At 42.6% G+C, this 23016-nt stretch overlaps 1 protein-coding gene across 2 annotated transcripts in view; it reads right to left on the bottom strand.

The window, feature by feature from the left end:
• Window positions 1–23016, bottom strand: part of RPF2 (ribosome production factor 2 homolog) — a 46226-nt gene extending 23210 nt beyond the window's left edge. Inside the window, exons 1-6 of one of the 2 annotated variants that reach the window (NM_032194.3) lie at window positions 22925–23016; window positions 19916–20048; window positions 15989–16026; window positions 13268–13307; window positions 7790–7871; window positions 5267–5343 (exon numbers count right to left, since the gene is read on the bottom strand). In NM_032194.3, coding sequence (NP_115570.1) covers window positions 5267–5343; window positions 7790–7871; window positions 13268–13307; window positions 15989–16026; window positions 19916–20048; window positions 22925–22947 — 393 coding nt within the window. In that variant the 5' untranslated portion in view covers window positions 22948–23016. The remainder of the gene's footprint in view (window positions 1–5266; window positions 5344–7789; window positions 7872–13267; window positions 13308–15988; window positions 16027–19915; window positions 20049–22924) is intronic. The other variant, NM_001289111.2, reaches the window with a different exon arrangement.

Here is a 23016-nt window from a genome sequence, read left to right as displayed (position 1 = left end):
CCTAGGACTATAGGGTCTATTTAGGTGTACAGAAGGGAACAAAAAGCACAGCATCATCAACAACAACTTTTGGTTTTCAAACCATCCTGACCACAATGCATAGTAATAAAAAAAAAAAAATTTGAAGTTGTCACCCAGTATACACATCATACAAAGACAAATAAAAGTTATGTGAAACAATATTTGGCCGGGCGTGGTGGCTCACACCTGTAATCCCAGCACTTTGGGAGGCTGAGGTGGGTAGATCACTTGAGGTGAGGAGTCCGAGACCAACCTGGCCAACGTGGTGAAACCCTGTCTCTACTAAAACTACAGAAATTAGCCAGGCGTGGTGGCTCAACCAGCTACTTGGGAGGCTGAGGCAAGAGAATTGCTTGAACTTTGGGGTGGAGGTTGCAGTAGAATTGCTTGAACCTTGGGGTGGAGGTTGCAGTGAGCTGAGATAGCACCACTGCACTCCAGTCTGGGCAACAAAGCAAGACCCTGTCTCCAAAAAAAAAAAAACCCCAATACTTAATACATACAGCACTGATATTTTTTACTCTATTCCATTTTTTAAAAATACTAGTCACGGCCGGGCACAGTGGCTCACGCCTCTAATCCTAGCACTCTGGGAGGCCGAGGTGGGTGGATCACAAGGTCAGGAGTTTGAGACTAGCCTGGCCAACATAGTGAAACTCTGTCTCTACTAAAAATACAAAAAATTAGCTGCATATGGTGGTGTGTGCCTGTAATCCCAGCTACTTGGGAGGCTAAGGCAGGAGAATCGCGTGAACCCAGGAGGCGGAGGTTGCAGTGAGCCGAGATCACGCCACTGCACTCCAGCCTGGGCGACAGTGTGAGACTCCATCTAAAAATAAAAATAAAAATAAAAATAAAATGCTAGTCACATGCACATGATGAAGACCCTGAACTAGGCAGGAGTCTACAATAGATGAGCTGGCTGGGCATGGTGGCTCACATCTATAATCCCAGCACTTTGGGAGGCCAAGGTGGGTGGATCACCTGAGGTCAGGAGTTTGAGACTAGCCTGACTAACATGATGAAACTCCGTCTCTACTAAAAATACAAAAATTAGCTGGGTGTGGTGGCGCACACCTGTAATCCCAGCTACTCGGAAGGCTGAGGCAGGAGAATCTCCTGAACCCGGGAGGCAGAGGTTGCAGTGAGCCGAGATCACGCCATTGCACTCCAGTCTGGGCAACAAGAACAAAACTCCGTCGGTGGGGGAGACATGAGGCCTCACTCTGTTACCCAGGCTAGATTGCAGTGTAGCAATCATAGCTTACAGCAACTTAAACTCCTGGGCTCAAGCAATCCTCTCACCTCAGCCTCTCAAGTAGATGGGACTACAGGCACATGCCACCAAGCAAGGCTAATTTAAAAAAAAATTTTGTAGAGACGGGGTCTCACTATGTTGTCCAGGCTAGTCTTACTTCATTGAATATAATCATCCTTTGACGTATGGCCATCTTGAGGAAACAGGCTCCTAGAATACTCACTCAATTTCCTGGTAGAGTCTAATATTAAATATTCTCAATGAGCTTGTTTAAAGAGTTAAATATTCTCATTGTCTCTACTAAAAATACAAAAAAATTAGCTGGGCATGGTGGTAGGCACCTGTAATCCCAACCACTTGGGAGGCTGAGGCAGGAGAATTGCTTGAACCAGGTAGGCGCATGTTGCAGTGAGACGAAATCACGCCACTGCACTCCAGCCTGGGTGACGGAGCAAGACTCTGTCTGGTGAGGGTGGAGGAGAAGGACAAGTTAACGGAGGAATGAGGGTTGGCAACAAAAGTAGGTAGGTGAGGTAAGAAATATCTAGCACAACGTCTTAAAGACAAGGGAGAAGTAAAGGGAAAATAAGGGAAAGTGTACCAAAACAAATTAAAAATATAAACCTGTAACCAAATAATGGGGTATTGGTGACACTGGTGTTAGAAAATTAAAAAGAAAAAAAAAGGGGGGGGGGTAAAAAATGAAAGACTAGGGCTGGATACGGTGGCTCATGCCTATAATCCCAGCACTCTGGGAGGCTGAGGCGGGTGGATCACCTGAGGTCGGGGTTCAAGACTAGCCTGGCCAACATGGTGAAACCCCATCTCTACTAAAAATACAAAAATTAGCCGAGTGTGGGCGCCTGTAATCCCGGCTACTCGGGAGGCTGAGGCAGGAGAATTGCTTGAATCCGGGAGGCAGAGGTTGTAGTGAGCCGAGATCATGCCACTGTACTCCTGCCTAGGCGACAAGAGCAAAACTCCCTCTCAAAAAAAAAAAAGACTGCCTAATAAGTCTGAGTACATGTAGGAATTGCCAATGTAAGCACATTCTCAATTAATAAAATTTATAGTTATATATGCACTCCATGAGTGAAAATGTAGTGTTCAATTTAAATGGTTCTTGTTAAGAATGAGACCTGGGCTGGGTGCAGTGGTTCATGCCTGTAATTCCAGTGGTTGGGGAGGCCAAGGCGGGAGGATCGCTTGAACTCAGGAGTTTGAGACTAGCCAGGGCAATATAGTGAGACCCCATTTCTTAAAAAAAAATGTGGCTGGGCATGGTGGCACACACCTGCAGTCCTAGCTACTCAGGAGACTGAGGCAGGATAGCCTGAGCCCAGGAATTCAAGGCTGCAGTGAGCGGTGATCCCACCACTGTACTCCAACCTGGGCAACAGAGTGAGACCTTGTCTCTAAAAAACAAAAAAAGAAATGAGACCTGACAAACAATAATGGTTTTGTGGTCCAGTTTACTTTTTTATTTTTATTTTTTTAGACAAAGTCTTGCTGTGTCACCCAGGCTGGAGTGCAGTGGCATGATCTCAGCTCACTGCAACCTCCACCTCCTGGGTTCAAGAGATTCTCATGCTTCAGCCTCCCAGGTAGCTGGGATTACAGGCGTGCACCACCATGCCTGGCTAATTTTTGTATTTTTAGTAGAGATGGGGCTTCACCATGTTGGCCAGGTTGGTCTCAAACTCCTGAGCTCAGGTGATCTGCCTTCCTTGGCCTCCCAAGCTACTGGGATTACAGGCGTGAGCCAGCACGCCTAGCCGGTTTACTTTATACATATATGAGACAATGTCTCACTACGTTGCCCAGGCTTGTCTCAAATTCCTGGCTTCAAGCAATCCTCCCGCCAGGGCCTCCCAAAGTGATGGGCTTACAGGCATGAGAGCCTGGACTGTGGTCTAGTTTAGAAGCTGCACAATGACTGAAGTATTTCATTGCTTTGGAAGTGAAATGGAAAGAGTAGAGGGACTGGAAGGTGCTCATCAGCCAGTGCTCCCTCCCACTAAGCTGGTGATAAGCTAGTGGCAGTGGTAAAGGTGAAATGGGGTTATGCTGGTCATCTCCAGAGATTCGTGCATGGTCCCAAAGAGACACTATAATAATGACAGCTGGGTACCCCAGCACTTTGGGAGGCTGAGGAGGAGGATCTCCTGAGCCCAGGAGTTTGAGACCAGTCTGGGCAACACTGTGAGAGCTTGTCTTTACAAAAAAAAAATTAGCCAGGTGAGGTGGCACACACCTATAGTCCCAGTTACCTGGGAGGCTGAGGTGGGAGGATTGCTTGAGCCCAGGAGGTCAAGGCTGCAGTGAGCTGAGATCGCGCCACTGCGCCCCAGCCTGGGTGACAGAGCAAGACCCTGTCTCGAAAGAAAAAAAAAAACAGAAAGAAAAATAATATGAGGGCTTCCACCATAATCAAGCATCACAGTTTATGTACTTTACAAAATACGTTACAAAATATTATCTTTACTGATAAGCATTTTCACATATATTATCTCATTTGATGTTGTTATACTTATTTTACATGTGATTGCAACTGAAGGTCAAGGAAGCCATTGACTTGTCAGGTCACAAATGTCATCTAAATAGCCAAGACAGGCCTCAAATCCAAGTGTTCTGCCTCTAAATCTAATTTCAGACCACTGTTCCACCTGTACCTGAGGAAACTGGGGTGACTGACTAAATAGGGATCTGGTAAGAACCTTTTTTTCCAAACTCACGGGATAAAGTTGCTTAGTACAGGAATTCTACCAAACCTGGAAAGCATGTCCTCCTCTTAAAGTCAGGAAAAGAGTAATTATACATTTTTGCTACAATACTTCCAACTAGACCATGAGCCTCAAAAACCCATAAACTGAGAGCAGTTATATAACCTTCTATTACCAACAACATCACTTCTCTCAAAGCCCTAGAGTCCTAATCTTGGTTATACTGACCATATGTGTGATTCTAGTTCACCAATGAAACCCCTATGGGCCTTCAATCTCCCAATCTATACAAAAAAGAAAATTACTTAGGCCTTACCCAGATTGCTATGAGGTCTAGGTGAAATAATGTATTTGATAAGATAGATTAAGCCTGAAGCAGAGTTCTGAGGGAACAGAAGCCCAATTTGTACCCAGGAGCTGAGTTAGAACACTCTTCCTGCCTTTCTAAGAGTATTTTTACTACCATTTACTACTTTCTATTTCATAATATCATTAAAACAAAGATGCAACTCCCCAAGGGTGAACTGACCTGCCATTTGGTGGTTAGTAACCAACATACTATAGAATCAGCCAGAGCTTCCTGGGTTCAATTTGAAAATTCTACAGGTTTTTCTAAGGTTCCATAAAATAGGTGCTGTGATAATTCAGAGGAAGAGGACAGTATTTAAACTATAGACCTACAGGTGCTTTGGCTCACACCATGGTCAGGAATTTGAGACCAGCCTAGGCAACATGGGAAACATGACAAAACCCTGTCTCTACAATAAAAATACAAAACAATTAGCTGGGCGTGCTGGCATGTGCCTGTAGTCCCAGCTACTTGGGGGTTGAGGTAGGAGAATTGCTTGAGCCCAGGAGGTCAAGGCTGAAGTAAGCCATGTTCATGCCACTGCTCTCCAGCCTGGGTGACAGAGTGAGACCCTGTCTCAAAAAAATAAAACAAAATAATAAAAAATAAATTCAAACTATGAAAAAAGCAAAAAATAAAAACAAAAAATAAAAAAACTATGGCCTAGACAAGAATTAGTAACCACAGTCTGAAGTCTAACAGCCACAAAGTCCACATATGTTGCTATTCACTACAAATATATTCCTCTTTTTAAAAGAAAGGTAAAATAAAATTGTATTTTTATCCTGGAGCATGTCAAAATAAAAACACAAAGTTCTTGATCTACAAAACTCTATCAGTACTCTTCACCACAAGATGTCACTACTGGTCAAGAGAAGCATTACAAAATACTTTTCATTTCTATGAGTATCTTACCTTAATGTCTTTTAGAGAGACAAAATTCTCAATACCTAATTCAATCATATCCAGCACATGGTAGTCATACATACGACCTGGAAGGAAAATGTATTTTTAAGCATGTATTTTTCCCAAAGAGCCACCTTACATATACCCACAAGAGCTGTGTATTCAAAATGTCCTAATATCTGCCTCTTTTTTCTCCCTATACCCCCGCAAACATATCCCACTTTCTTACATTTTCAACTCTACTTATTGATTTTTATGATATTAGTCATGGAAAGGATCTCAGATATTACTTAGCCCAACTCCTTTATTTTATAGAAGAATAAATGACAGCCTACAGAAGGTAAAGGGCTTGCCTAAGCCAGTGAGCATGCCAGGCTCAATCTCAATACACTGAGGTAAAGGTTCTTTTTCAAATCTATTTATTCAATAGATATTAGAGAAGGATTAATTTATGTGGGTCGATACATTTTTTTTTCTAATATTGATTTAGTACATATATATATTTCATATGAAAAAAATATCTACAACTTAGGATAATTTTCCCCCCCAATTCCAATGGATCCATGCTATTTGGGAGCTCAGAGACACTCAATGCAAGTATAAAGTAATTGTGCTGCATCTACAACTAAGTAGGCAGGGATGCTGAGAGCCCGAAGAGACCACGCTTCCCATTTAAACCAGAATTTGATTCCGACAGAGACAGAAGGAAAAGGCATTCTAAGAAACATGAATTACCAGGGAATCTTTTCATATTCTTTCTTACTTGTGGCACTTCACTGTATTGGTAGGGTCATATTTATATGCCCCATTCTTTACTTGCTGACCGACATAAATTTTTTTTTTTTTTTTTTTGAGATGAAGACTTGCTCTGTTACCCAGGCTGGAGTGCAATAGCATGATCTCGGCTCACTGCAACCTCTGCCTCCCTGGTTCAAACAATTCTCCTGTCTTAGCCTCCTGTGTAACTAGGATTACAGGTGTGTAATCTATTTCTTGGGAGCCTGCCTCTCCTTGGCACTGGCTGCAACCAATTATTATTTTAGAGAGACAGTTAAACAGCTGCCTGACTGTCACCTGATGGTCGCCTGACATTCCTGGTTGGGGTCGGGTGAGTGGGCAGCCTCTCCTGTCCTGTGCGTGTCTGCCTATCTACTGTAACAAGCTCTGTGACTCAGATTAACTGATGGTATTGAGGAATCAGGAGTAATCAATAAGCTGTAAACTAGTTTGGTGGGGTTTTTTGGTTTTGTTTTCACCTTGTGACATTGAATAAAAAATTTTTAGATCAGGCCGGGCACAGTGGCTCACGCCTGTAATTCCAGCCCTTTGGGAGGCCAAGGTGGGTGGATCAGCAGTAATCAGCAGCTAGTAATCAGCTGCTTCCCAATAAGATCTCAGGAGTTGGGTGGGTGGGCTCAAGCATGCACACTAGGAGGCAAAATGGCTGACTTCAACTGGTATATGAACTTGCTCTATGCTTCAAATGAGCATACGTACAACTCCAATAAACACACCGTGCATGTGGCCCCTCCCAGTGCTGGCAGGCCACTGCACAGGCAGACAGCTCATCCCAAGGAAAAATCAAGGTAGGAGGCTAGGCATGCTGGCTCACGCCTGTAATCCCAGCACTTCAGGAGGCCAAGGCGGGTGGATCACTTGAGGTCAGGAGTTCAAGACCAGCCTGGCCAACATGGTGAAACCCCGTCTCTACTAAAATTACAAAAATTAGCTGGGTGTGGTGGTGGGCACTTGTAGTCCCAGCTACTCGGGAGGCTGAGGCAGGAGAATTGCTTGAACTCGGGAGGCGGAGGTTGTAGTGAGCCGAGATTGGGCCATTGCACTCCAGTCTGGGTGATGGAGCAGACCAAGACTCCGTCTCAGGAAAAAAAAAAAAAAAGAAGAAAAGAAAAATCAAGGGAGAAGAGACACCAACCCCCCTGAAGCATACCAACACATATAAAGCCCCCAAGTCAAAGGTCAAACAGCACACATGAATCTCTCAAGTTGCCTGCTTGGCGCTCAAAGCGTACTTCACTTCCTTTTACTTCCTTTGTTCCTGCTCTATAACTTTTTTTTTCCTTGAGACAAGGTCTCACTCTGTCACCCAGGCTGGAGTACAGTGGCGCCATCTTGGCTCACTGCTACCTCCATGCCTCAGCCTCCTGAGTAGCTGGACTACAGGCACGCGCCACTACACCTGGCTAATTTTTGTATTTTTAGTAGAGATGGGGTTTCACCATGTTGGCCAGGCTGGTCTCGAACTCCTGGCCTCAAATGATCCACCCACCTCGCCACCCAAAGTGCTGGGATTACAGGCATGAACCACCATGCCAGGCCCCTGCTCTAAAACTTTTTAATAAACTTTCACTCCTGTTCAAATACTTCCCTCAGTCTCTTACTCTGCCTATGCCTCTTGGATGAATTATTTCCTCTGAAGAGGCAAGAACCAAGTTGCTGCAGACCCGTATGAATTCGCTGCTGCTAACAAATTGACTCTATCAGTGAAAACATTAAAAAGTAAATTATACTTACCTATTACTAGATTATTTGGCCGCTTCTTATTATGGGAGCCAAACATGAATAAAGAACAATCTGACTTCTTTGAAAAGAATTCCTATAAAACCAAATAAATCCCATTTAGTCCATGCATAAATTTAAGAACTTTAAGAATCTTACCTTTAAAAATCTTACCTTCAGGCCAGGCACGGTGGCTCACACCTGTAATCCCAGCACTTGGGACGCCGAGGCGAGTTGATTACTTGAGATCAGGAGTTTGAGACCAGCCTGGCCAACAAGGTAAGACCGTATCTCTACTAAAAATACAAAAGACAGCCAGGTGTGAAGGCACACGCCTGTAATCCCAGCTACCTTAGTGGCTGAGGCACGAGAATCGCTTGAACCCAGAAGGCAGAGGTTGCAGTGAGCTGAGAATGCGACACTGCACTCCAACCTGGGGAACAGAGTAAGACTCTGTCTAAAAAAAACAAAACAAAACGAAACAAAAAACTCTAACAGTTTTTTTCTTCCAGTGGAAGTTAATGAAGACTTAATGAACCAGAAAGAAAAATACAGAGGAAAGGTATTTCCAGCTTTTTACTTCAAGTTTCCTGATTTGGGGTACTTAGGGAAAAGATGTGCATTTCAAGACTAAGAATACATGAAAACTATTCAGTTAATAAATAAAATGAAACCATTTATTTTGTTATGCTGTCATTTTGGAATAGCACACCAAGTGTTTCATTTGCTGAACAAATTCCTTTTACTCGCAGGATATCACTACTATCATTGCATACATTCAAAACACACGAGGCCCAGTAAGGTGGCTCATGCCAGTAATCCCAGCACTGTGGGAGGCTGAGGCAGACGGATCACCTGAGGTCACCTGATGTCAGGAGTTTGAGACCAGCCTGGCCAACATGGTGACACCCTGTCTCTACTAAAAATAAAAAAATTAGCCAGGCATGGTAGTGCATGCCTGTAATCCCAGCTACTCAGGAGGCTTAGACAGGAGAATTCCTTGAACTTGGGAGGCGGAGGTTGCAGTGAGCCAAGATCACACCATTGCACTCCAGCCTGGGCAACAAAAGCATTGCATACCAGTCTGGGCAACAAGACCACTGCACTCCAGTTTGGACAATAAGAGCAAGACTATCTTAAAAAAAAAAAAAAAAACTTATCTGGCTGGGTGCAGTGGCTCACGTCTGTAATCCCAACACTTTGGAAGGCTGAGGTAGGTGGATGGCTTAAGATCAGGAGTTTGAAACCAGCCTGAGCAACATAGTGAAACCCTGTCTCTAAGAAAAATACAAAAAATTAGCTGGGTATGGTGATGAGCATCTATAGTCCCACCTACTTGGGAGGCTGAGGTGGGAGGAAGGATCGCTTGAGACCAGGAGATCAAGGCTACATGCAGTGAGCCGTGATGGCATCACTGCACTCCAGCCTGGGTGACAGAGTGACACCATCTTGGAAAAAAGAAAGAGAGAGATCTTATCCATTTGGTTCTCAGAAGTACAGACTTCCATTACAGATTTCAGAGTACTAAAAAAATCTAGGTGTGGGGTTCTAATCCTAGACAGCTCTTTTTACATTATGCCTGTAGTCTCCACATCCCGCATGCTTTGATTCAGTTTACTGAGATCACCACTTTTAGCACGAAAATTAGAATCAACATGTTTTAGTCCAGAAATCAATTGGAAAGCCTCTTAACTTAATATTAAAGAAAAAAACAGATGAAAGAGTCATAACCCTCCATTTTTCTTTACTCCTTACAAGACTCTCCAAGGTATGGGCCCCTAGTTTGGTTATCATTCATTCTAGCCTCTAAACAGAAGCATAAATGGCAAACAACTACCCACCTGGCCTGTCCACAACCAGAGTGGGGGATGCAGAGTCAGAAAGTCCAAGAATTCAGGCTCTGCCACTAAATATCTGGACAAATAATCTTTTCTGAGAATTAACTTTATCAATAGGGATAATACCACCTCCTGCAAAAACTTGCAAAGGCCACATGCGATGTCATATGTGAACACACCTTGTACAAAGTTGTACAATGTCCTGAACAAAGTGGGTGTCCAAAAAATATTTTCTATGGCCAGGTGTGGTGGCTCTTGCCTGTCACCCCAGCACTTTGGGAGGCTGAGGTGGGTGCATTGCATGAGCTTAGAAGTTGGAGACCAGCCCAGGCAACGTGGCAAAATCCCGTCTCTAGTAAAAATACAAAAAAAATCCGGGTATGGTGGTATACACCTGTGGTCCCAGCTACTCAGGAGACTGAGGTGGGAGGATCGCTTGAACCCGGGAGGTGGAGGTTGCAGTGAGCTGAGATGGCGCCATAGCACTCAAGCCTGGGTGACAGAGTGAGACCCTGTCTCAATTAAAATATATATATTTATTTTGTATGTCTAAATCAATGGAATTACTTTCTTAAAATTTTAAAAACATTTTCATGGTATGACTAACATCTCAAAGCTTTCCATAAAACACCCCTCATATATACTTGAGTGTTTTATATACATACATACTCGTGTGTGTGTGTGTGTGTGTGTGTGTGTGTGTGTGTATATATACTCATCCCATTCTCCACAAAGTCTGCTTTTTATTTCTTAAAATTCTAGAACGGGGTAGTCAAATTACCTGCAAAAAGCCATATAATAAGTATTTTAGGCTCATTCTTTTGTTTTGTTTTTAGCCAACTCTTCTTTTTTTTGTGAGACAAGGTCTCACTCTGTTGCCCAGGCTAAAAGTGCTGTGGTGCAATCATGGCTCACTATAACCTCAAACTCCTGCACTCAGCTGATCCTCCACCCTCAGTCTCCCAGATAGTTAGCACTTGGGCTCCCACCACCATTTCCTGCCAATTTTTAAATTTTCTTTAAGAGATGGGATCTCAATATGTTGCCTAGGCTGGTCTAGAAATCCTGGCCCCACGCAATCCTCCCACTTCATCCTACCAAAACAACGGGATTAGAGGTATGAACCACGGTGCCCAGCCTAACCAACTCTTTTTTTTTTTTTTATTGAGATGGAGTTTCACTCTTGTTGCCCAGGCTGGAGTGCAATGCCACAATCTTGGCTCACCGCAACCTCCACCTCCCGGGTTCAAGTGATTCTCCTGCCTCACCTCCCGAGTAGCTGGAATTATAGGCATGTGCCACCACGCCTGGCTAATTTTGTATTTTTAATAGAGACAGGGTTTATCCATGTTGGTCAGGCTGGTCTCGAACTCCTGACCTTAGGTGATCCACACGCCTTGGCCTCCCAGAGCGCTGGGATTACAGGCATGAGCCACCATGCCCAGCCTAACCAACTCTTTAAAAATGTAAAAACCATTCTTAGCTCATGAGCCTCACACAAAGAGGGATTTGATCTGCAAGCAGTATATTTTTGCCAACCCCTCTCTAAAGCAGCAAAACTCATTTATCCAAGATTGTAGTAAAAAAAATGTGTGGAGAGGGTCAGGAGGAGAAAATTGACCACTATTTCCAACACAACCACTCCTTCCATAGCCATTTTGAGCTCCGTAGGTCTGGGATTCAGATAGCTAATAAATATATACTATAACTGGAGGTGGGAGATCAAATAGAGGGAATGTCACAACCTCAAGTGTAAGAAAAGCTGTTGTCAGCTTTTATCAACACTAGACTAAAAAAGCTCAAATGCTACAGCTTTCACTATGTAACACTGCCACAAAGTGGTCATGCAACTAAAAGCATTATGGTATCACAAAAACAAAACCAGGCCTTGATTAAGTACTATATGAAAGAGAATTCTGAGATAAATCTTATATTTTTACTTTCATGATCTCTTCAACAAATGACTGTAAAAAACCTGAGACAAATAAAAGTAATTTGAAAAAAACTGAGTAAAATGCATTTTATCAATACTATCTTAATTTTCACTGCAGTTAGTTACAATAAGATTATTTGATTTTAATCTAATTTATCATTGAGATTAATTTCTTTCTTTTAAATTCACTAACTAAAAGAAAAAAAAACATTAAAAAGGTCAAGTGAACTTAAGAAAAAAAACAACAACAAATAATGGGTTCCTGGTTGGGTGTGACGGCTTACACCCATAATCCCAGTACTTTAGGAGGCCAAGGCAGGCAGATCATTTGAGCTCAGGAGTTTAAAACCAGATTGGGCAACATGGCAAAGCCCTATCTCTACAAAAATTAGCCAGGCATCGTGTCGTGCACCTGCAGTCCCTGCTTCTGACATGGGAGAATGGCTTGAGTCTGGGAGGTGGAGACTGCAGTGAGCAGAGATCATTCCAATGCACTCCAGCCTAGGCAACAGAGCCAGACCCTATTTCAAAATAAACAATGGGTTCCTATCAAGAAAACATAATCATATTAAGTTTTTTTATTTTTATTTTTTAAATAGAGACAGGGTCTCGCTACGTTTTCCAAGCTGGTCTCGAACTCCTAGGCTCAAGCGATCCTCCTGCCTTGGCCTCCCAAAGTGCTGGGATTACAGGCGTGAGCTACTGTGTCTGGCCCCTGATGATTTTCTTAAGGAAGAAACCAATATCATCACATACTGAAAGTCCATTCATCATTCTCCATTTACTATAAACAATCTTTGATTTCACTAACCAGTTTTTTCATTTAGTTTTGGTTGACTATACACTCAAATAAGAATCTGATTAACTCTAGGAAAGCAACTGACATCTGTTAGCAATAATTCAGGTAGTGTTCCTTGTTTTAAAAGTATCCAATTGTGTGTGATGGTGTACACCTGTAGTCCCATCTACTTGGGAGACTGAGGCAGGAGGATTGCTTGAGCTCAGGAGTTTGAGACCAGCCTGGGCAACATACCAAGACCCAAGCTTCAAAAAAAAAAAAAAAGTAAAAACATCTGAAGGAAGAGTCATATTTTTAAAACTCAAACTTGCTTTATAAAAATAGATCTATAACAAACTTCCTTTTGAAAATTCATTATGTCCTTTAAATGCAACTCAAGTTTTAAATATTTTTTTTTTTGAGCCGGAGTTTCACCCTTGTTGCCCAGGCTGGAGTGCAATGGCGTGATCTCGGCTCACTGAAACCTCTGCCTCCCGGGGTCAAGTGACTATCCTGCCTCAGCCGCCTTAGTAGCTGGGATTACAGGCATGTGCCATCACGCCCGGCTAATTTTTTTTGTATTTTTAGTAGAGACGGGGTTTCTCCATGTTGGTCAGGCTGGTCTTGAACTCCCAATCTCAGGTGATCCACCTGCCTTGGCCTCCCAAAGTGCTAGGATTACAGGCGTGAGCCACCGCGCCCGGCCAAGTTTTAAAAATTTTATCAATATATTTGCAGGCAATGAAAAACACATTTCCCAGCCATAGTGAAATGAAAGCTCTATAGATATTTTTTAAAGTATTTCCTCTCCATTTTACACAAAATTCCCTCACACAGGATGACTTCTAATGTTTAAAAAAATCACAAATTTGGAGTACAAATGAATTAGTCTGAATAATTACTACTTATATGCTTTCTTAAATCATAAAGATTATTATACTTACCAGTGATGTCTGATCCTCAAAAGGTCTTGTAATATTTTTCCTAAGAATATCAAAAAAGTGACAATTTTAATAATCTAAATAAGTATATACAATTAATATATTAAGGTAATTTTATATTCAGATGATAAAACAATTGAAAGGATATTCATTCATTCAAATATTTATTCAGTGCCTGTTATATGCCAGGCTACCATTCTAGGAGCTAGTGATACTATACTACTACATTAAACAAGATGCTTGCTTTCATGGAGTTTATAGGCTCGTGGAAAATAAGTAGTCCTCTGTACATATGGATTCTGCATCCTTCTGCATCCATGGATTGATTTGACCAACCACGGATTGACAGTATTCAATAGACAAAGAAAGTGTGTTAAAAAAAAAAAAAAAAGCAGGGGGCGCCGAGCACAGTGGCTTACAACAGTGAAATATGATCGTGCCACTGCACTCCAGCCTGGGTAACAGTGAGACCCCGTCTCTAAAAAAAAAGTTAAGAAATAAAAAGAAAAAGGAACAATAAAAAGCAGGATAAACCAGAAAATACAGCATTATAACTATTTACATAGCATTTACATTATATTAGATATTATAAGTAATCGAGAGATGATTTAAAGTATATGCAACTTACTTTTATGGGAAGCATTTTTTAAAAAAAGGATACAGGAGGAAGTGTGTGGGTTATATGCAAATACTAGGCCATTTTATGTAAGAGACGAGCATACCCAGATTTTAATAAGGGGAGGTTTCTGGAACCCATCGCCCACAGATACTGAGGGATGACTGTAGCTTATTCCAGGGCTGTGGTAAGGAAAAAGACAAGATGAACCCAGATAATTTTGTGATGTTAGAAAGTAAGGAAGTGCTCAAAAACAGGAGGCATGTTGAAAGGTCATAGGAACCAACGTAAAAGAGTTCCCAGCTGGGAGCAGTGGCTCACGCCTGTAATCCCAGCACTTTGAGAGGCTGAAGCTGGTGGATCACCTGAGGTCAGGAGTCTGAGACCAGCCTGGCCAACATGGTGAAACCCTGTCTCTACTAAAAATACAAAAATTAGCTGGGCACCTGTAATCCCAGCTACTCAGGAGGCTGAGGCAGGAGAATCGCTTGAACCCAGGAGCCAGAGGTTGTGGTGAGCTGAGGTCGCACCACTGCACTCCAGGCTGGGTGAAAGAGTGAGACTCCGTCTCATACTAAAAAAACAAACAAAAGAAAAGGTGGGGGGGGGGGGGGTTCCCAATTGCCAAACAGAACAATTTAAGCAACAAAATTAAGAACACTGGATTATAATCCAGAAGAATATATGAGGAAAGCACAACATTTTTGTAGTGTTCTTGACAAACATGCATAACCTCAATCAATTCATGAGAAAATTTAAACCCAAATTGAGGGATAATTTACAAAATAACTGACAAGTACTTGTCAAAAATGTCAAGGTCATCAAAGACAATGAAAGACTAAGGAACTGTCACAAATTGGAGAAGACTAAGGAGGCATGAAAACTAAATGCAACATGGGATCCTGAAGAGAAAAAGAGTATTAAAAGGAAAACTAGGGCCGGGCACGGTGGCTCACGCCTGTAATCCCAGCACTTTGGGAGGCCGAGGTGGGCAGGTCACCTGAGGTCGGGAGTTCGAGACCAGCCTGACCAACATGGAGAAATCCCGTCTCTACTAAAAATACAAAATTAGCCGGGCGTGGTGGCGCATGCCCGTAATCCCAGTTACTCGGGAGGTTGAGGCAAGAGAATTGCTTGAACCCAGGAGGCAGGTGTTGCAGTGACCTTAGATCATGCCACTGCACTCCAGCCTGGGCAACAAGAGTGAAACTCCGTCTTAAAAAAAAAAGAAAAGAAAGAAAAAAGAAACTGGGCCGGGCGGGGTGGCTCACGCCTGTAATCCCATCACTTCGGGAGGCCAAGGCGCGCAGATCACCTAAAGTCAGAAGTTTAAGACCAGCCTGGCCAACATGGTGAAACCCTGTCTCTATTAAAAATACAAAAATGAGCTGGGCATGGAGGTGCATGCCTGTAATCCCAACTCAGGAGGCTGAGGCAGGAGAATCACTTGAACCAGGGAGTCAGAGGTTGCAGCGAGGCGAGATCATGCCACTGCACTCCAGCCTGGCAACAAAGCTAGACTCCGTCTCAAAAAAAAAAAAAAAAACCACACAAAAATTAGCCAGGCGTGGTGGCACGTGCCTATAATCCTAGCTACATGGGAGGCCAAGGCAGAAGAATTGCTTGAACCCAGAGTTAGAGGTTGTAGTGAGCAGAGATCATGCCACTGCACTCCAGCCGGGCGACAACAGGACTCCGTCTCAAAAGAAGGAAAAAAGAAAAACTGGTGCTAATCAAATATGTCTGTCATTTGATTAACATGAGTGAATCGGTGTTAATTTATTAGTTTTGATCATTGCATTACGGTTATGCAAGATGTAACATTAGGGGAAGCCAGGTGAAGGGTATATGGGAATTCTGCATTATTTTTGCACTTTTCTGTAAATCTGTATTTCAAAATAAAATATATATGCTATGGTTACAACTATGCAAGGACATTCAATACAAATGAAAAAAACAGACCAAAAGAAAGAAATTAAAATATTAATAACTGTAAGGAATTTTAATATCTTTTTAAAAAGTTTTTGTTTTCCAAATCTTCCATAAAGTGGTTACTTTTATAATGAAACAAAATCATTTAAAATACAGTAAAAGAAATCATGACTTACTTTTTATATAGTACACCGTATGGTTTTTTCAGTGCATACTGTAAAACAAAATTTATAGCTTTCAAAACAAAACACATTCTGAAAAGCAGAAATAAAAATAAAGCATCATAACAGTCACTCTCCAAGATTGCTCTGGGGCCTCAATCTTATTCTGAGGGCTTCTGCCTGGCTCCCTTTTCATCACTTACAGTAACTTGAAATGTAAGCTTAATATTCTTGGACTAGACTTTCCTATTTAAAAGTTTCTATGCCCTGTCAATAGTCTATCCAACTTAAACAATTTCCTTCATTTCTTTAAACTCGACTTAGTCCAGTCTCTCTCTAGGGAAACAATTCCAGGTGCAGTGGCTCACGCCTGTAATCCCAACACTTTGGGAGGACAAGGCAGATCACTCAAGCCCAGGAGTTCGAGACCAGCCTGGGCAACATGGCAAAACCCTGTCTCTACAAAAAACTGCAAAAATTAGCCAGGCATAGTGGTGCATGCCTGCAGTCCCAGCTACTTGGGAGGCTAAGGCGGGAGGATCACCCGAGCTCAGGAATTCGAGGCTGTGGTGAACCGTGATTGCACCACTGCACTCCAGCTCTGGTGATAGAGTGAGACCCTGTCTCAGAAAAAAAAAAAAAAAAAGTAGTAGACAAAAACAGAAAAAATAAATTCTATCACGAAAGGCTGACAGATTGAAATAATGTTGCGTGGAGATCAGAAAACTTAGAAACAGTAATAATGATGACAATTAGAATACTAGCCAGAGGTTAAACACAGCTCTTTAAAAAATGCCTATTATTCAATGTTCTTCATTTTTTTCCTAGTTCTACCTATCCACAAATAATCATTCATTTTATTTTATTTATTTATTTTTGAGACAGGGTCTCACTCTGTTGCCCAGGCTGGAGTGCAATGGCGTGATTAAAGCTTACTGCAGCCTGAAACTCCAGGGCTCAGGTGATCCTCCCATCTCAGCCTCCCAAGTACAGACACATGCACCACGCCCAGCTAATTTTTGTATTTTGAGTGGAGATGGGGTTTCACCATGTTGTCCAGGCTGTATTTTATTATTTTTTTAAATTTAATTTATAGAGATGGGGTCTCACTTTGTTGTCCAGGCTGTCATCCTAGGCTTAAGTGATCCTCCCACCTCAGCCTCCCAAAGTGCTGGGATTACAGGTGTGAGCCACCACACCTGGCCTATAATCATTTATTACTTGTATGGCCAGTACTGCTCTACCATAGAGAATAACAAAGATGTCATCAGGTACTACCTTGCATTAGAGAAATGGGTAAATGAGGGAAACAATGAAAAATAAGGTATAATAATCATTCATCAACTATCAGAGTTGGTGAACAAAGAAAATGCAACAGTAAAATCTACCTTTTTAAGTACTAAAACTTTTGATGATTCTTGGCCAACTATTTCCCTGTTTCCGTGTAATAAACATTGCCACCTCTTCTTGATGACTCAGAGTCATCATGATGAATTTTAATTATTGTAGTAATCTGTAATATTGTGCTGCTTTTAAAGCTTACTTAAATATGCAGGGTCATTGTGCTGATGGATACTAGAAGGAGAGGGGCAGTTTCCCGTTAGCACAATGAAATTCAGACAAACATTTCAAAAAAGGGATGGGCCTATATAAGGCATTCAGACATCTGAATTGACTATGCTTATCAGGCATAGAGTTTGGTCAAGTTTAAAATATATTCAAAGCCAGGCATGGTGGCTCACTCCTGTAATCTCAGCACTTTGGGAGGCCGAGGCGGACAGATCATGTCAGGTCAGGAGTTTGTGACCAGCCTGGCCAACATGGTGAAACCCTGTCTCTACTAAAAGAACACAGAAATTAGCTGGGTGTGGTGGCTCCCAGCTACTTGGGAGGCTAGAGGCAGGAGAATCGCCTGAACCCGGGAGTCAGAGGTTGCAGTAAGCCAAGATGGCACCACTGCACTTCAGCCTGGGCAACAGCGTGAGACTCCACCTCAATAACAACAACAAAAATGTATTCGATTACTTAATTGATTTAATTCAAAGATCTATTGGCTGTACTCAAGGCCTAATTAGTCAAATAACCTACTAGATATCTCCACATACTATGTCTTTTTTTTTTTTTTAGTTGGAGTCTTGCTCTGTTACCCAGGCTGGAGTAAGTGCAATGGCGTGGTCTCAGCTCACTCCAACCTCCATCTCCCAGGTCCAAGCAGATTTTCCGGCCTCAGCCTCCCTAGTAGCTGGGATTACAGGCGCCCACCACCATGGCTGGCTAATTTTTGCATTTTTAGTAGAGACAGGATTTCACCGTGTTAGCCAGGCTGGTCTCGAACTCCTGACCCCGTGATCCGCCCACCTCGGCCTCCCAAAGTGCTGGGATTACAGGTGTGAGCCACTGTGCCTGGCCCATACTATGCCTTTCTTTCATAGATTACATATATATTGAGTACCTACTATGTCCAGACACTGGGCTGTACACTAGGCTACAGAGGTAGAAAAAACAAAGCTTTTATTTTCATTACTTAAATTACATGTCCCAAACCGAACCTTTCACCTTTCCCTCCAAACCTGCTCCGCTTGATACATTTTCTAATTGGCATTATTGCCCATCAGGCACTCAAGCCAAACACCTGGGAAGTCATACTTTTCACTAGTTCCCAACTCTTCTTTCCTCAACATCTATTCTTTCTGGTCATTTCTCATTTTCATTGCCACCACTGGACTCCAGATGCTCTTCACCTAGCTGGCAGCAATGGCTTAGTTTCCTACATTTGCTCTCAACCCTCTCTAATCAAGCCAATTAAAAGGACTGATGGTATCTCTTGCTTAATATCTTTCAATGATTACACGGAGCTTTCAGATTAGAATTCAAATTTCATGTTACTATGTGACCCATGCCTCCTCTTCTAGCCTCATCTAGCCCACTCTCCTTTGGCCATGCCCAATTATTTACAGTTCTCCAAATGCATCAATGCTCCTTCATACTCCCTTTTGCACAAACTTCTTTCTCAGCCTCAGAGGATCTTCTCTTTCTCTCCCACTTCTTGCACCAACTTCTCCTTCAAAATGAAGCTGCAGTGTTATCTCTGGGGGAACCTACCCTGTGTGGGGGTCCCCCTATGTGATTTTTTTTTTTTTTTTTTGAAATGGAGTCTCTCTCTGTCACTCAGGCTGGAGCAGTGGCACAATCTCGACTGACTGTGACCTCCACCTCCCAGGTTCAGGCGATTCTCCTGCCTCAGCCTCCCGAGCAACTGGGACTACAGGCGCCCGCCACCACACCCGGCTAATTTTTGTACTTTTAGTAGAGACGGGGTTTCACCATGTTGGCCAGGCTGGTCTCGAACTTCTGACTTCGTGATCCTCCTGCCTCGGCCTCCCAAAGTGCTGGGATTACAGGCGTGAACCACCGTGCCTGGCCTCCCCTATGTGATTTTAACTGTTTCCCACCCTACCCTGTCCATGCCTCCAGCACAGCACAGTGTAAGAACTTTTTACATGTCTATCTCTCTAAGCTCACTGAAAGAACTGTGTCTCACCTATTAATTCCCAGCAGAGGCACAGTAACCGGTGTTGTTGAATGACTAAATATACAGCAATATGCAGTTACTTCTCTTTACAAATTAGATTTTTTCCTAAAATGTAAGTAAGCCAAATTCTAGTAATTGAAAACAGTTTAAATTTACTAAGGGAGACCTTCACTCTACCAGACCCACCTGTGCTCCTAAAAAACAATAATAAAATTTACTAAGAGAACTAGTTGCTTTAAGAAAAGGTGCCACGCAAGGTAAATAAACCCCCAACTTTAGCTCTTCTCTAAGACTAGTAGTTCTTATGGTAAGGCAAGCTTATCTACGTATTTCTCCGACAGCCCATCCTAGCATGCTGAAAATTCTAAAATGACTTCAATACCTTTTAAAGATTAAGTATATATACTTACCACATCTTTAAGTACTTTTGTCACTGTTGCATTTGCATTTCCCCCTTTAATCAGCATGGCATTTTTAATATTTTCATTGAGTTTCGGTTCTCTCTTCTCAAGGAATCTCTTGGCTCTTTTCGTTTTGGGCTTTCTGTTCAGAAAAGCACAATTCATAACTATTTAAACATTTTCCTCACATTGCAAAGCCATGACTTAACTAATATGAAAATTCTTAAAAACATATTTGTCACTTAGGGTTCCACCCTTAAAAAAAATCTCACTTTCTTTTTTTTGTTTGTTTTTTTTTGTTTGTTTTTGAGATGGAGTCTCACTCTGTCACCCAGGCTGGAGAGTGATGGCACAATCTTGGCTCACTGCAACATCCACCTCCTGAGTTCAAGCAATTCTCCTGCCTCAGCCTCCCGAGTAGCTAGAATTACAGGCACACACCACCACGCCTGGGTAATTTTTGTATTTTTAGCAGAGACAGGGTTTCGCCATGTTGGTCAGGCTATTCTCGAACTACTGACCTCAGGTGATCCGCTCACCTCGGCTCCCAAAGTGCTGGGATTACAGGTGCGAGCCACAAGGGCCGGCCAAAATCTCACTTTTTTGGTAGATATTAGTAAAAGATATTTCCTTATTATTGTTAAATAAGTGTTTTGATAGCTTTTAAAAAAAAGCTTTCATTTTTGTATTCCCACCATTCTTTTATTACTGCTCTTTCCAATCTTTTTTTTAAGTAAAAAATAAAAGGCTCAAGTAAATACTGTTGCTGTTTTTTTTCTCTTACTCTTTCTTACTCTTCTTTTTTCTTCAAACTTTAAGTAGTCAAACTGTATCCTGTACCCTAATACAAAGAATTGAGCATCAACTGCTGATCAACCTGTGGACATTTACTAAACATAAGACTAACGACTGCTTATTTTTCTTTTAGGTTTAAGACCACAATGCCTGCCAGGAAGTATACACTGTTGCACTCCAACATCATTGCTGAGAATGCCAGTATTATTGCCAACAATGGGGAATAATAAGGCTGATGTTTACATGGAGTCACTCTATTAAGGCTTAATCTTCACCACAATCCTGAGAGTTACAATTCTTATTTATTTATTTATTTATTTTTTTGAGACAGAGTCTCGCTCTGTCGCCCAGGCTGGAGTGCAGTGGTGCGATCTCGGCTCACTGCAAGCTCCGTCTCCCAGGTTCACGCCATTCTCCTGCCTCAGCCTCCCGAGTAGCTGGGACTACAGGCGCCCGCCACGACGCCCGGCTAATTTTTTGTATTTTTAGTACAGACGAGGTTTCACCGTGTTAGCCAGGATGGTCTCGATCTCCTGACCTCGTGACCCACCCCCCCGCCTCAGCCTCCCAAAGTGCTGGGATTACAGGCGTGAGCCTCCACGCGCGAGTTACAATTCTTATCTTCACTTTACAGATGAGGCAATTGAACAGACAGGTAATGTGCCCAAGATCACACAGCAAGTAAACAGGCCAATTTTTAAAATGAGCTAGGGCTGGGAGGTGGCCCACAGCCTGTAATAAAAACACTCTAGGAGGCCAAGGTGGATGGATCACTGAGCCCAGAAGTTCGAGACCAGCCTGGGCAACAATGCAAAACCCTGTCTCTACAAAAAATACAAAAATTAGCTGTGGTGGTGTGCGCCTATAGTCCCAGCTACTCAGCAGGCTGAGGTAGGAGGACTGCTTGATCCCAGGGAGGTCGAGGCTGCAGTGAGCTGTGATGGGGCTACTGCACTCCAGCCTGGGTGACAGAGTGATACCCTGTCTCAAAAAAAAACAAATTTTTTAAAGCTAGATTTAAAAATTCGTCTAGACCAATTACCCTGTAAAATATGAAGGGAAAATAAATTCATTATTCTGACTTTATGATGTGACAGTAGGAGTGGCATGTTTTTACACACTTCTGTTCAAAAGAGGGGCTTCACCTCTGCTTCCTCTACAATGAGCACCTTGCTTTTCAGACAGTTCTCTGCCATCTACTGAAAGAATTCTTCCTCCCAAATAATTATGACCCTCCCTCGTCCAGTCCCATGGACACTTTGGGAAGAAAAAGAGACCATACATACACTTAAGTTTCCCATGTAGATTTTTAAAATACTCCTCCAGATATAATGTCACATATAAAGCTTCTGATCATTTACTGGTTGATAAAGATACAAATTATTCTATCTTTTGTATCTCATTAAACAGCAACAAATGCAAATAGCAATTAACATGTTTTATTAGCTGCCTGCTCCCAATTAACGTGTGAACTAGTCCCAATACCTAGTAAACTACTCTTTGTAGTCCAAACAGCTAGAGGCATAGCAGGTGTGCAAAATCTCTGAATGACTAAAACTGTCGTTTTGGATACATGTTAACTTAGGTAAATAGCAAGAAAATCACAGCAAGTAACAGCAGGGCTGTTTAGCCCAAATATTCTTGAACAAATTTAAAACAGGTATCATTCAAGGATAACTCAGAGGAGTGTACAAAGTTGGAAGGAAAAGAAAAAACTAATGAACATTTCTACGTGCTGCAGCAAAGGCTCTACATACATTCTCGAAACTAACCCTCACAGCTCTATGAAGTATGACTATGGTGAGCGCTATTTTACAGAATAAGCTAAGATTTAGAGATATTTAATGACCCAAAGTCACAAAGCTTTAAGTGGACGCGCCAGACTGTCACTCAGATCTGTCGGATTCCGAGGGCTGTGCTCCTAACCCCACTATACCATCTGTCTCATACTTCGGAAGTCAGACGTTTTTCAACTGGCTAGGATAAAAGCGGCCAACGCTTCAATCCCACATCCCTCCCATCCCACGGCTCCCACTTGAGAGCTTCCCCACTGTCTCCTGGCAAGCAGCTCGCGCTGAGGAGGACCCGGGCTGGTGATCGATCGGCCCCCACCCAGGTAATTAGAGGGGTAACCAGGAAGAGTGAGAGGCCGAGACAGTACCACCCTCATCACGGGACCCTTTCACCCCAACGCTCCCCGGGGCTGAGACCCAGCGCACTTACACTACTCGATCCAGAGTGTCCATCGCTACCGCTACCTGCAACTCTTAACCAGGGGGCATGCACGTGCCCTCGGCGATTACGTGCGCCGGAAC

The sequence above is a fragment of the Homo sapiens genome, chromosome 6 (assembly GCF_000001405.40).
Source record: "Homo sapiens chromosome 6, GRCh38.p14 Primary Assembly".
Taxonomy (NCBI): domain Eukaryota; kingdom Metazoa; phylum Chordata; class Mammalia; order Primates; family Hominidae; genus Homo; species Homo sapiens.
This window is presented reverse-complemented; position numbering and strand designations above follow the sequence as displayed.